Source organism: Homo sapiens, chromosome 13 (assembly GCF_000001405.40).
Source record: "Homo sapiens chromosome 13, GRCh38.p14 Primary Assembly".
In the NCBI taxonomy this organism is placed as follows: Eukaryota; Metazoa; Chordata; class Mammalia; order Primates; family Hominidae; genus Homo; species Homo sapiens.
Genome location: NC_000013.11, coordinates 63,735,594 through 63,750,527, shown reverse-complemented (window position 1 = coordinate 63,750,527; position 14,934 = coordinate 63,735,594). Strand labels below are relative to the sequence as shown.

Below are 14,934 nucleotides of genomic sequence, written 5' to 3'. Positions count from 1 at the left end.
ACAGGCGCCCGCGACCACGCCCGGCTAAATTTTGTATTTTTAGTAGAGACGGGGTTTCACCGTGTTAGCCAGGATGGTCTCGATCTCCTGACCTCGTGATCCGTCCTCCTTGGCCTCCCAAAGTGCTGGGATTACAAGCGTGAGCCACCGCGCCCGGCTGCCAATGACAAGTTCTTTTTTTTTTTTTTTTTTTTTTTTTTAATGACAAATTCTTAACTGCAAGCAGGCCACAGGCCAAAGTTAGCAAAGGCCCAGGTACACAGGTGGGCAGAGGGAATCAAAAACCCTGTGGAGGTATGAAGCCTGGAAATTGTGGTGTCCATGCTGAGAAGGCTGCAGGAAGCCAGCCCCAGCTGTAAGATTCCTGAGGGACCTCAGATTCTGAAGTATAGCACCTCTAGATGTTCTCACACTCACACCACCCACTCACTGTAAGGAGCCAGGCACCATAGGAGAGCCCTTTCCTCTACAACATCTCTCCGGTGCCCTCTACTGAGAAGGCTTGAATACTGTGCTCACTATGAGGAAGTAAATACAAGAGGAATTCCACACATTATGGCAGAGTGATTGCAGGGTAAATTTGGAGCTGAGAGGCAATACATTATTTATTGACAAATGTGTGGCGTGCTGGCCAGTATAGTAGATGCTAAAATGTCATAGTAAAAATAAGAAATAAAATTGTCTTCCCTATAGAAATTATGCTTTTGTAGAAGATATATGATATTATCCAAAGAAATGATTAATAAAACAGTGAAGTTCTATGAAACAAAAATATAGTGCTGTAAAGTGTAATGACATTTATTGAGGTTCAAAGAAAGTCTCCTGAACGACAATCATATGTTTGGGGAATTAATACTTAAGATGTATACTGAATATGTGAATATGAAGTATATTAATATTCCTATAAAGCTTGCATAGTAAACTGTGATAAGTGTTTAGAGTTGGCAGTTATTGGCATGGCAGCTGATAACCGAAATTTAATAATAAATGAGATTGATGAAAGAGTAGAGAAAGATAAAAAGTCATATGAAGGAATCTTTTGATAAACACACCTGAAGAGTTTTAAACTGCTTGCAGGTCAATTAAGATGCAAATTAATATGTATTCAAAAGACAATATGTAAGTCATTCACGATCTCCATTAATATGGCTTGTGGGTGGCAGAATTCAGATTACAGAGAGTTAAACAAGTAATAATCTCATAGAACCAAAAGTGGAGATCATAACATAAATAACACATTGATTTTAATTTCCAACTCAAATTAAAAATTAGATTTCATATAAAAATTTGAATTATGGGTCCTTTTGAAAAATTGGAAACCTTATCAATCTTTCCCTAAACTGGCTTGAAAAAATATTCAACCAGGTTGCCGCCCCTCCTTGAGATTATAGGGTCCATACATTCTCTCTCTTTTTTTTTTTTATTATACTTTAAGTTCTAGGGTATGTGCGCACAACGTGCAGGTTTGTTACATATGTATACACGTGCCATGTTGGTGTGCTGCACCCATTAACTCATCATTTACATTAGGTATATCTCCTAATGCTATCCTTCTCCCCTCCCCCCACCCCACGACAGGCCCCAGTGTGTGATGTTCCCCTTCCGGTGTCCAAGTGTTCTCATTGTTCATTTCCCACCTATGAGTGAGAACATGCAGTGTTTGGTTTTTTGTCCCTGTGATAGTTTGCTGAGAATGATGATTTCCAGCTTCATCCATGTCCCTACAAAGGACATGAACCCATCCTTTTTTATGGCTGCATAGTATTCCACGGTGTATTAGGGTCCATACATTCTGTATTTCATCACTGTCAGTATTGAACTGCATCACTTTTAATATTTCTACCTGGCCTTTCTAGCACTTGCACTCATGGACTCTGCAACATGCAGTTCTTTAAAGAAGATAATGTGGAAGAGAAAAATGTGGTGTCCGATAGTAAAAGAGGGTTATGGTTTTTTTTTCTTCCCTTTTTTTTCTTCTCTTCCTTCTTTAAAGAAAGTCAATAACTGATTGCCGAAACCAAGGTGTATACTGGTTGATATAAATAAGCCCATACATAGAGAGAAATTATAGATAGAACTGAGAAAGTTGAACTCTATTTATGCCTATTTAATTACTGGAATAACACTTACCAAGCTACTTAAACTCTGGTGCTTAATGTCTTCACTTATACAGTGAGAATTAATACCCACTTCCTGAAGTTATCCTGCAGAATAAATGAAATCATGTTTCCAAAGCTTATAAATAGTTCATGACCAAGTAACTATTTAAAAACACATAAAGGAGACACATTATTAATATAGTAATCAACATACCACAGTGGCTGAAAAAGAATTAAACTCAAAGCACTAAGTTAGTCATTACACAATCCCAGGCTGTTTCATTAGGCAGTTGATGGTAACACATGGGGAAAGCAAAGGGACATCAAGACAATAAATCAAATACATTCACGTGCTGCTAAACAACAGGGATATGTTCTGAAAATTTGAGAAATGTATCATAAGGCAATGATGTTTGCCATGCAGATTTCACAGTGTACTTACATAAACCTGTATGATATAGCTTAGAACACACCTAGATTATAAGGTATAGCCTATTGCTTCTAGAATACAAACCTGCACAGCATGTTACCATATTGGATAATATAGGCAATTGTAACACAATAATAAATATTTGTGTATCTCAACTTATTGAAATCTAGAAAAGATACAGTAAAAACACAGTATAAAATAATAATAATAATAATAATAATAATAATAAAACAGTACCTATATAGACCACTTAGCACGAATGGCACTTACAGGGCTGAAAATTGTTCTGGGTGGATCAGTGAGTGATTAGTGAGTGAATGTGAAGGCCTGGGATATTACTGTACACTACAGTAGATGTCTTAAACATTAGGCATTAGGGTAAATGTATAAAATACATTTTATTTCTTCAATAATACATTAAACTTAGCTTACTGATAATTTTTTGCTTTATAAACTATATTTTATTTTAGCTTTTTGACTCTTTTGTACTAAAACATTTTTTTTTGGAATAAAGAACCATTTTTATTACAAATGATTGACTTCCCCAATTGTAGATGTTATGATCATTAACACAGTCATAACAGAGAGTCAGAGATTAAGGGAGCAAAAGATAACATTTGGAAAACAGTCAGATGACACCGTGGATCCTATGGCCATGATTTCATTCAAAGAAATGTGAGGCTAGAGGTCCAAGACTCTGTCAAGCATGTAATTCTTGGATATAGAAATCTTGGAGTATGAATCCTTGAATCAGTATTATCTTTAGCCGTGTCATTTTAGAAGCAAATTGTCCTCTGACAGTGATGTTTTAGCAGGAAGAATAGCATCTTCTAAAGCAAAATGGCCGGTAGCCACAGTAGCCAGAGCCAGAGCCACATCCACAGCCATAGCCAGTTCCATAACCACAGCCATACCCACAGCCGAAGCCAGTTCCATAGCCACAGCCAGAGCCAGAGCCATAGCCACAGCTGTAGCCAGAGCCATAGCCACAGCTGTAGCCAGTTCCATAGCCACAGCCATAGCTGGAGCCATAGCCACAGCCATAACCAGAGCCATAGCCACAGCCATAGCCACAGCTGTAGCCAGTTCCATAGCCACAGCCATAGCTGGAGCCATAGCCATAGCCATAACCAGAGCCATAGCCACAGCCATAGCTGGAGCCATAGCCACAGGAGTTGCCGTAGTAGTTGCAACACATGTTGTCAAGAGGAGAGAATTGAGATGGGTTTCAAGAAGATGCTTCTGAGGTGTGGACGTCTTCTACTTCCCTGAGACCTTTATATACTGTCAGTAATTGCCAAAGCATATCATTCATTCCCTGACTTAGCCAACAAATATTTAAACAATTATTATGTGCCAGTCACTGTTGATCATCAATAATATTTTGCTTAAAATGAGCCAATTATTTTGGAGACTCGAGTTTCATTTCAGGAACATCATTTTAATCTGCTCTGCCAAAGAACCATCTCAGTGAAATCATGTGCCCAAATATAAAGCTGATACTAATTTTCAAAATGTCCTATCAGTAGATATATATCTTACATAACAAGTTTTGGGGGGATCATAACAAAATTTTATCCTTTTTTTCTCTCTCTCTTTTTTCCTAAAATATCTACCTCTACCCATAGGGAAAGAGACAACCCTATTCCCTTTCCTGAGTCATTACAACTTCTTTGCCAGACTTCTTTCTCCAACTCACTCTGCACTTCCACACCTACCCCTTGTCCAACCTCCCTCAAATCCCAAGAAACATATTCACATCTGATCATTCAAAGCCAGACTGTATGCTATCTGCAAGTGTTTCTTATATTTTCCTTCCATCCTCCAGGCAAACCAAGACCCTGGGGAGGCAGAGAAGCCCTCCTTTTGTCTCCCATTTCTTCAGCTATATAAGTAATTATCATTGAGGAGCCTTTTAAAACCTAACCAGCTTCATTTTAAATATATATATATATTTATTTTTTTTTGTTATACTTTAAGTTCTAGGGTACATGAGCACAACGTGCAAGTTTGTTGCATATGTATACATGTCCCATGTTATACCAACACCGCTGTACCCATTAACTCGTCATTTACATTAGGTATATATCCTAATCCTATCCCTCTCCCCTCTCCCCACTCCATGACAGGCCCCAGTATGTGATGTTCCCCTTCCTGTGTCCAAGTGTTCTCATTGTTCAATTCTCACCTATGAGGGAGAACATGAGGCGTTTGCTTTTTTTGTCCCTGTGATAGCTTGCTGAGAATGATGGTTTCCAGCTTCATCCATGTCCTTACAAAGGACATGAACTCATCCTTTTTATGGCTGCATAGTATTCCACAGTGTATATGTGCCACATTTTCTTAATCCAGTCTATCATTGAAGGACATTTGGGTTGGTTCCAAGTCTTTGCTATTGTGAATAGTGCAGGGGGGTGAGGCACCACCCGCAATGTAGGGAGTAAGAGCCAACCCCTCTCCGCCCCCCGGCTCTTAGGACCCCCATCGCAGGGGGGCGGGTGCCCCCCGCGATGTGGATGGTCATATCCAGGGGGCGATAGTGGGGTGATATTACTCCCGGATTTTTCCTAGGATCCTTTCTATACTGTCACCCTCGGTTCACACCCTGGGACATTATCTTCCATATTCTAGCAAGATGCAGCTTCTAAAGTCGCAGGGGGTATACACCCTTCAGTATTATTCGTAATTTTGCAGGGGAATGTTAAACCTGATGTCACAGGACTCTGTACACTGTGATGTTATTCCCAATATCCTAGCTTTACCTTAATAATAATGTCACATTGTGTGTACACCTTGTGGTGTTTCTTATTCTCCTAATGGGAGGTTGCATTTATTGTCACACGGGGTATGTTCCTTTTGATATTATCCATAATGTCCTAGAGGGATGTCACCCCTTATGTCAGAGTTTGTACACCTTGTGAAATTACTCGTATTATCCTCATAAGATGTCACTCCTCATATCACAGAGGGTGTACACTCCGTGATATTGTCGTCATATTCTAGGGAAGTGTTACTTTTAATGTCACAGAGAGTGCACAGCTTGTGAAATTATTCGTTATAATTTTGTGGGATGTTACCCCTAATGTCACATGGCGTGTACACACAGTGATGTTACGTGCAATATGCTATGGAAATGTTACTCGTAATTCACAGGTCCTGTACACCCTTTAATATTCTTCGTAATCTTCTAGGAAAACGTTACTGCTAATGTCACAGGGCCTGTAGACCCTGTCATAAAATTCCTAATATCCTAGCGGGAGTTCACTACTAATTTCACAATGTGTGTACACCCTTTGATATTATTAGTATTGTCTTGAAGAGATGTTACTACTGATGTCCCAATGCAGGTACATTCTCTGATCTTATTGGTTATATCCTCGGGGGATGTTACTTCTAATGTCACACGGGGTGTCCTCCCTGTGTTCTATTTTGTAATATCCCACGGCAATTTCACTTTTAATGACACAGGGGGTGTACACATTGTGCTATTATTCGTGATATTCTAGAAAGATGTTACTGCTAATGTCACAGGGCTGTACACCCTGTGATAGTATTCATAATTTCCCAGGGGTCTATACTCCTATTGGAACAGACGATAACACCCTGTGACATTGTTCATAATATTCTAGGGAGATGATACTCCTCATGTCACAGGGGGTGTACACCCCGTGTTATTATTCTTACTATTCTAGGGGGATGTTACTCCTAATGTCACAGGGATGTACACCCTGTGATATTATTCATAGTGTGCCAGAGGGATATTAGCACTAATGTCACGATGCGTGTACACCTTGTGATATTATTTGTCATATCCTAATGTCACAGGGGGTGTGTTCCGTGTGATAGTCTTCCTAACATCCTAGACGGATATTGCTCCTAACGTCACAGGGTGTGTACACCTTGTCACATCATTCATAATATCCTAAAACTACGTTATTCCTCAGGTCACAGGGGGTGTTCACCCTGTGATATTTTTCATCATAGTTTTGTGGGATGTTACTGCTAAAGTCACACGGGGTGTACACAGAGTCACACAGTGATATGAGTTGTAATATTCTATAGACATGTTACTTGTAAATCACAGGGGCTGTACCTCCTGTGATATTATTCGTAATATTCTAGGGGAATGTTGTTATTATTGTCACCGGGGTGTACACCCTGTGATATGACTCGTCATATCCCAGTGGGATGTTACTACTAATGTCACAATGCCTGTACACCCTGTGATACTATTTGTAATATCCTAAAGAGATGTTACTACTAAGGTCACAATGCATGGACACCCTCTGATATTATTCGTTATATCCTCGGGAGGTGTTATTCCTAATGTCACACGGGGTGTACTCCCGGTCCTATTATTCATAATATCCAAGGGGGATGTTATTTTTAATGTCACCGGGGGTGACATTACACATTAAAAATGCGTATTCAACGCCTGTGATACTATTCCTAATATCCTAGGGGCATGCTCTTCCGAATGTCACATGGGGCGTACACCATGTGTGTACACCTGCTGTGATATTATTCATAATATCCTAGGGGAATGTTACTCCTGATGACACAGGCGGTGTACACCATGTGTGTACCCCTCCTGTGTTATTATTCACAATATCCTAGGGGGATGTTTCTTTTAATGTCACAAAGTGTGTACAAAACGTCACAGAGGTGTACACGCTGTGACATTATCTGTAATACCCTAGAAGGGTGTTACTCCTAATGTGTCACAGGGGTGTACACGCTTTGATGTTATTTGCAATCTCATAGAGAGATATTACTTCAAATATCACAGTGGATGTACACACATAGTGTATACCCTGTGATAGTATTCTTAATATCCTAGGGAGATACAAATCCTGATATCACAGTGCGTGTACCCCGTGTATGTACACCCTTGATATTAGTCGTAATATCCAGGGTAAATATTACTCCTCATATCACACAGTGTGCACACCCTGTGATATTTTTCCTCATACATTAGGGAGATATTGCTTCTAATATCACAGTGGGTATACCCCATCTGTGTATACTCTGTGACAGTATATTCTATATCCTAGGGAGTATTACTCCTAATATCACTTTGGGTGTTCGCCCTGTGATATCATTCTTATTTGACCTTGCTGCCTTTGTTAACCCACACTACAAAAGGAATGGAACAGATAAGAAGATACGGAGATTGGACGGTGCTGCTGTGCGGCCGCCGCAGGACACTTTTAATATGCCTGTTTCTCAGGCTGTAGATGAAGGGGTTCAGCATGGGGTGATCACCGTGTACATCACTGAGGCCACTGCAGCCTTTCTCGGGGAAGATGACACATCTGAACTGAAGTACCCTCCAACGCCCGTTCCGTAAAATCAGCAAACAACTGACAGGTGAGACCCACAGGTGGAGAAGGCCTTATACTGCCCACGTGATGATGAAACACTCAGAATGGAGGAAACAATTTTATAGTAAGAGAAAAGGGTCCCAGAGATGGGAAGAAAACCAAATATGACAGCAGGGAAATACATGATTATGTTATTGGTGAAGGTGTCACAACATGCAAGATGGGGGAGTTGAGAAGGGTCACAGAAGAAATTAGGAATTTCCGCATCCTGGAAGCAGGTCATTTGTAAGGCAATCAAGTTGTGCAGCTGGGCGTCTAAAACACTGAGAAAAAAAAAAAAGGCGGGAACTGAGAGCCAGCCCCTCTTCCTCAGCTGGCTCTTAGGACCCCCATCGCAGAGGGGGAGGCACCCCCACTGAGGCAGGGACTGAGAACCAGCCCCTCTTCCCCCCTGGCTCTTAGAACCCCCATCGCAGTGGTGGGAGGCAGCCTCCGCGAGCCGAGGAGTGACAGCCACCCCCTCTTCCCCCCCTGACACTTGGGACCGCCATCGCAGGGTGGGGAGGCACCCCCCCGAGAGGCAGGGACTCAGAGCTAGCCCCTCTTTCCCCCCTGGCTCTTAGGACCCCAATCGCAGGCGGGGAGGCACCCATCGAGAGGCGAGTACAGAGAGCCAGCCCCTCTTCCCCCCCGGCTCTTGGGACCCCCATCGCAGGGCGGGAGGCACCCCCCGCGAGGCGGCGACTGAGAGCGAGCCCGTCTTCCCCCCCTGGCTCTTAGGACCCCCATCGCAGAGGCGGGAGGCACCCCCCGCGAGGAAGGGACTGAGAGCCAGCCCCTCTTCCCGCCTGGCTCTTAGGACCCCCATCGCAGGGGGGGGAGGCAGCCCCCACGAGCCGAGGAGTGACAGCCACTCCCTCTTCCCCCCTGACACTTGGGACCGCCATCGCAGGGTGGGGAGGCACCCCCCGCGAGGCGGGGACTCAGAGCTAGCCCCTCTTTCCCTCCTGGCTCTTAGGACCCCAATCGCAGGCAGGGAGGCACCCACTGCGAGGAGGGTAGTGAGAGCCAGCCCCTCTTCCACCCCTGGCTCTTAGGACCCGCGTCGCAGGAGGGGAGGCACCCCCCACGAGGCCGGGACTGAGTGCCAGCCACTCTTTCCCCCCTGGCTCTTAGGACCACCATCGCAGAGGCGGGAGGCACCCCCCGCGAGGCAGGGACTGAGAGCCAGCCCCTCTTCCCCACTGGCTCTTAGGACCCCCATCTCAGTGAGGGGAGGCAGCCTCCGCGAGCCGAGGAGTGAGAGCCACCCCCTCTTCCCCCCTGACACTTGGAACCCCCATCGCAGGGTGGGGAGGCACCCCCCGCGAGGCGGGAACTCAGAGCTAGCCCCTCTTTCCACCCTGGCTCTTAGGACCACAGTCGCAGGCGGGGAGGCACCCACCGTGAGGAGGGTAGTGAGAGCCAGCCCCTCTTCCCCCCCTGGGCTCTTAGGACCCCCATCGCCGGGGGAGAGGCACACCCCGCGAGGCGGGGACTGAGAGCCAGCCCCTCTTCCCCCCCTGGCTCTTAGGACCACCATCGCAGGAGGGGGAGGCACCCCCCACGAGGGAGGGACTGACAGCCATCCCCTCTTCCCCCCTGGCTCTTAGGACCCCCATCGCAAGGGGGGAGGCACCCCCCGTGAGACAGGGACTGAGAGCAAGCCCCTTGTACCCCCTGGCTTGAGACCCCGATCGTGGATCCTATGAACCTTAGGACCCACCTGGAGGACTGTGGGTATAGGTGTCCAAGAAGAAAGCTCAAATCTGCCGACGGCTGGTACCTTACTTGGGATTTACTATCCGACAGGTGTCAGAACGCAGCCCGGGAACAGAAAGTAAGCAGGTCATTTGCAATCTACTGGAGCCTAAGGGCAGAAAGCAGGTGAGGGTTTCTTAGGGGCTACGGGGTTTTATAGGCTGTGCATCCCAAACTTTGCAGTATTAGCCAAGCCTTTGTATGAGGTCACAAAGGGGGCGGGGACCGGGAACCTACGGAATCAGGATCCCAACAAAAGCAAGTCTTTCATGAGTTAAAGGAAAAACTACTGGCAGCCCCAGCCCTGGGGCTACCCGATCTGACAAAGTCTTTTCCATTCAATGGGTCAGATAGAGAAAACATGGCAGCTGGACTTTTAACCCAAACTCCGGGGCCCTGGCTGATGCCGGTGGCCTACGTCTCTAAACACCTACACAGGGTTTCAAAAGGATGGCTCCCCTGTTTGAGGGCCGTGGCAGCAACTGCCCTGATAGTAGAAGAAGCAAATAAGCTGACTCTTGGGCAAAACCTGAACATAAAGGCTGCCCATTTTGGGGTGAGTGAGAGCCAGCCCCTCTTCCTCCCCTGCCTTAGGACCCCCATCGCAGATCCTAAGATCCTTAGGACCCACCTGGAGGACTGTGGGTATTAGGTGTCCAAGGAGAAAGCTCAAATCTGCCGACGGCAGGTACCTTACTTGGGATTTCCGATCCGACAGGGGTCCGAAGCCACCCGGGAACAGAAAGAAAGCAGGTTATTTGGAATCTACTATAGCCTAAGAGCCGAAGGCAGGCAAGAGAATTCTCAGGAGCTGTGGGGTTTTGTAGACTGTGGATCCCAAACTTTGCAGTATAAGCCAAGACTTTGTATGATGTCACAAAGGGGGCGGGGACTGGGAACCTTTGGAAGGGGGATCCCAACAACAGCAAGTCTTTCATGAGTTAAAGGAAAAACTTCTGGCAGCTTCAGCCCTGGGGCTATCCGATCTGACAAAGCCTTTTCCATTGTATGCGTCAGAGAGAGAAAAGATGGCAGGTGGACTTTTAACCCAAACTGTGGGGCCCTGGATGAGGCCGGTGGCCTACGTCTCTGAACAACTAGACAGGGTTTCTAAAGGATGGCACCCTGTTTGAGGGCCTTGGCAGCAACTGCCCTGCTAGTACAAGAAGCAAATAAGCTGACTCTTGGGCAAAACCTGAACATAAAGGCCCCCCATTTTGTGGTGGTGGAGAGCCAGACCCTCTTCCCCCCCTGGCTCTTGGGACCCCCATCGCAGTGGTGGGGGAGGCACCCTCCGCGAGGCGGGGACTGAGAGCCAGCCCCTCTTCCCCCCCTGGCTCTTGGGACCCCCATCGCAGGGGGGGAGGAACCCCCGCGAGGCAGGGACTGAGAGCCAGCCCCTCTTACCCCCTTGGCTCTTGGAACCTCCATCGCAGGGTGGGTGATGCAACCCCCGTGACGAGGGGACAGAGAGCTAGCCCCTCTTCACCCCTGGCTCTTAGGACCCACATAGCACCTGGGGGAGGCACCCCCGCGAGGCGGGGATTGAGAGCCAGCCCCTCTTTCCCCCCAGACTCTTAGGACCCCCATCGCGGGGGGGGGAGGCACCCCTCGCGAAGCGGGGACTGAGAGCCAGCCCCTCGTCTCCCCCTGGCTCTTAGGACCACCATCGCAGAAGGCGGAGGTACCACCCACGAGGGAGGGACTGACAGCCATCCCCTCTTCCCCCCTGGCTCTTAGGACCCCCATCGCAGGGGGGGGGGAGGCACCCCCCCGCGAGGCGGGGACTGAGAGCCAGCCCCTCGTCCCTCCCTGGCTTGGGACCCCCATCGCGGATCCTATGAACTTTAGGACCCACCTGGAGGACTGTGGGTATTAGGTGTCCAAGAAGAAAGCTCAAATCTGCTGACGGCAGGTACCTTACTTGGGATTTACTATCCGACAGGGGTCCGAAGGCACCCAGGAACAGAAAGAAAGCAGGTCATTTGCAATCTACCTCAGCCTAAGGGCAGAAAGCATGTGAGAGAATACTTAGGGGCTGTGGGATTTTGTAGACTGTGCATCCCAAACTTTGAAGTATTAGCCAAGCCTTTGTATGAGATCACAAAGTGGGCGGGGACTGGGAACCTATGGAATCGGGATCCCAACAACAGCAAGTCTTTCTTGAGTTAAAGGAAAAACTTCTGGAGGCCCCAGCCCTGAGGCTACCGGATCTGACAAAGCCTTTTCCATTCAATGCGTCAGATAGAGAAAACATGGCAGCTGGACTTTTAACCCAAACTGTGGGGCCCTGGATGAGGCCGGTGGCCTACGTCTCTAAACACCTAGACAGGGTATCTAAAGGATGGCCCCCCTGTTTGAGGGCCATGGCAGCAACTGCCCTGATAGTAGAAGAAGCAAATAAGCTGACTCTTGGGCAAAACCTGAACATAAAGGCCGCCCATTTTGGGGTGGGTGAGAGCCAGCCCCTCTTCCCCCCCTGCCTTAGGACCCCCATCGCGGATCCCAAGATCTTTAGGACCTACCTGGAGGACTGTGGGTATTAGGTGTCCAAGAAGAAAGCTCAAATCTGCCCAGGGCAGGTACCTTACTTGGGATTTCCGATCCGACAGGGGTCCGAAGCCACCCGGGAACAGAAAGAAAGCATGTTATTTGCAATCTACCAGAGCCTAAGGGCCGAAGGCAGGCGAGAGAATTCTCAGGAGCTGTGGGGTTTTGTAGACTGTGGATCCCAAACTTTGCAGTATAAGCCAAGACTTTGTATGAGGTCACAAAGGGGTCGGGGACCGGGAACCTTTGGAAGGGGGATCCTAACAACAGCAAGTCTTTCATGAGTTAAAGGAAAAACTTCTGGCAGCTTCAGCCCTGGGGTTACCCGATCTGACAAAGCCTTTTCCATTGTATGTGTCAGAGAGAGAAAAGATGGCAGGTGGACTTTTAACCCAAACTGTGGGGCCCTGGATGAGGTCGGTGGCCTATGTCTCTAAACAACTAGACAGGGTTTCTAAAGGATGGCCCCCATGTTTGAGGGCCTTGGCAGCAACTCCCCTGCTAGTGAGGCGGGGACTGAGAGCCAGCCCTTCTTCCCCCCCTGGCTCTTGGGACCCCCATCACAGGGGGGGGATGCAACCCCCGCGACGAGGGGACAGAGAGCCAGCCCCTCTTCACCCCCTGGCTCTTAGGACCCCCATCGCACCTGGGGGAGGCACCCCCCGCGAGGCGGGTACTGAAAGCCAGCCCCTCTTCCCCCCCAGACTCTTGGAACCACCATCGTAGGGGCGGGAGGCACCCCCCGGGAGGCGGGGACTGACAGCCAGCCCCTCTTCCCCCCCTGGCTCTTAGGACACCCATCGCAGGGGTGGTCAGGCCCCCCCCGCCGCGAGGCGGGAACTGAGAGCCAGCACCAATTCACCAATACACAATCAGTAAATATACCGATTGTATTATGTGCCGTGAACATTCCAAAGTAACCACATGAAAGAGAAGACTCAGAACTACAGGTGTTTTTCTTCTGAATTTTTTCAGATTTTCTTTTTCCCTTTGAAATTCTGCAAGTTTGAGTATGTTATGCTCATGTTTCGATTTTTAAAATGTTTTAAAATGTTTAACCGTCTTAGTGTTTTATTAGTTTAGTGGACCTATGGCTTTGAGTCATATTCACAGTTGAACATTTTCAGTCATTATTACCTCAAGTATTTCTTCTGTTTTTTGTTTTTTTTTTCCTCTCTCTTCTCCTTCTGATGTTTAATTTTGCATTTGTGGTACCTTTTCTAACTGGCCCGCTGTTCTCACATATTCTGTTCATTTGTTTAATTCTTTCATTTTATTCTCTGTTTATCAGTCTGAGAAATTTTATTAGACATACCTTAATTATTTTTTCCTTAGCCATGTTCTGTTCCCTGATGAGTCTGTCAAAGGCATTGTTTATTTCTGATACAGTGTTTTTGACTTCTAGCATCTCCCTTTGATCCGTTCTTAGACTTTTCATTTCTCTTTATTTCATTACCCATCTGTTCCTGTGTGTTGTTCTCTTTTTCTGTTAGAGCTTTTAACATATTAATCATAGTTATTTTAAATTACCTGTCTGATAACTCCAAAATCTAATTTGAGTCTGTTTCTGATACTTGCTTTATCGCTTCATTATGTGTTTTCTTTTGCCTCATAATGTGCTTGTAATTTGTGGTTGAAAGCTAAACATGATGTGTTGGTAAAAGGAACTGAAGCAAATAGATCTTTAGTGTGAGGTTTTATGTTTATCTAAGAGTTAGGCTGTGTTTACTGTTTGTTGTTGCTGTAAGTGTCAAAGGCTAACATTTCCTTTTAGTGCCTTTTGTTTCTTGTCCTGAAGTTTCTCTAGAGACATTTAAAAAGTCTGAGTCTCAGTTATTCCAACTCAGATCCCCTGTTATTAGACAGAAGTCTGATTAATGTTGTGGTAAGTTGTAAGGTTTCTCTATTAGGGTAGAGAAAATCATTTTATAAATTGTTATCTCCAAGTGTTAGGGGATGTCTTGACTTTTTCCATTCAGGAAGCTCTATCTGGGGTATTAGTTGCAGTTGTAGTTAGGTATTAGTTAATTTCACTCTAAACTACTATTATTATTTCAGATCTATCTCTCTCAGAGGCAAAACCATGAGAGAGTAGAGGCATCTAGTAGAGGGGACTGGAAAAAGAATTGTCTTGTGCTGCTGCATATCCCATCAGTCAGAACATATTCCCCTTTTGCCACATGATTTCACCACAGGCTATTCACAGATACATCTGTTCATGACAAGGAAACTTACTTTCCCCTCAATACTATGTCAAAAATTTGCATATTTTCTTCAAGGTAAATATATTTAAATGTTCAGAAATTGCCTAGTTTATTTCCTATTGTATCTTTTGTTTTTATCTATTTCTAAATCTAATTGATTTATAATACACTTGCTATTTACCCATCCCCTATTAGGATGTCAGTTTTCCTAAAAATAGAATTCAAGACTTGATATCTTTAGGTGTGACATTAAATGTGACACCTGAACTCAGTAAATGATTTAGAAGTCAGTCTTTATGTGAGTTAGAAATGAGTATTTATTGAACTAGGACACTACATTTCAAGCTTTATTTGTTACATCTTACTGGTATTACCTTAACCCATTACTTACTTCTCTACTTTTATATTTTTCCTAAAATTAACAAGCTTTGTTGGTGTAAGTATAAGCACTTAGATAACACATTGACATTACTTTCTATCTGTCCTTTTCAAAAATTTATACTTCTCAGCTCTCTTTTCTACAACCT

At 45.7% G+C, this 14,934-nt stretch overlaps 1 protein-coding gene, 1 long non-coding RNA gene and 1 pseudogene across 3 annotated transcripts in view; 1 reads left to right on the top strand and 2 right to left on the bottom strand.

Moving 5' to 3' along the window:
* Positions 1-2,351: 2,351 nt before the first annotated feature.
* On the bottom strand, positions 2,352-3,787 carry LOC112267897 (keratin-associated protein 21-1-like). The gene has a single exon (NM_001395920.1). The coding sequence runs from the start codon at positions 3,725-3,727 to the stop codon at positions 3,338-3,340; it is 390 nt and encodes a 129-aa protein (NP_001382849.1). The 5' UTR covers positions 3,728-3,787; the 3' UTR covers positions 2,352-3,337.
* Positions 3,788-7,959: 4,172 nt separating this feature from the next.
* OR7E156P (olfactory receptor family 7 subfamily E member 156 pseudogene) lies at positions 7,960-13,093 on the bottom strand (annotated as a pseudogene). The gene is made up of 4 exons (NR_002171.2): positions 12,179-13,093; positions 10,285-11,655; positions 9,619-9,762; positions 7,960-8,176 (listed from the first exon to the last, which is right to left on the bottom strand). The product of NR_002171.2 is annotated as an olfactory receptor family 7 subfamily E member 156 pseudogene (transcript).
* The window catches only part of LINC00395 (long intergenic non-protein coding RNA 395), a 70,337-nt gene continuing 67,912 nt past the window's right edge, over positions 12,510-14,934 (top strand). Inside the window, exon 1 of the long non-coding RNA NR_047011.1 lies at positions 12,510-12,619. This is a non-coding gene — a long non-coding RNA (long intergenic non-protein coding RNA 395). The remainder of the gene's footprint in view (positions 12,620-14,934) is intronic.

Coding starts and splice junctions, on each gene's coding strand:
- LOC112267897 (NM_001395920.1), bottom strand. CDS start 3,727: ATGTGTTGCAACTACTACGGCAACTCCTGTGGCTATGGCTCCAGCTAT.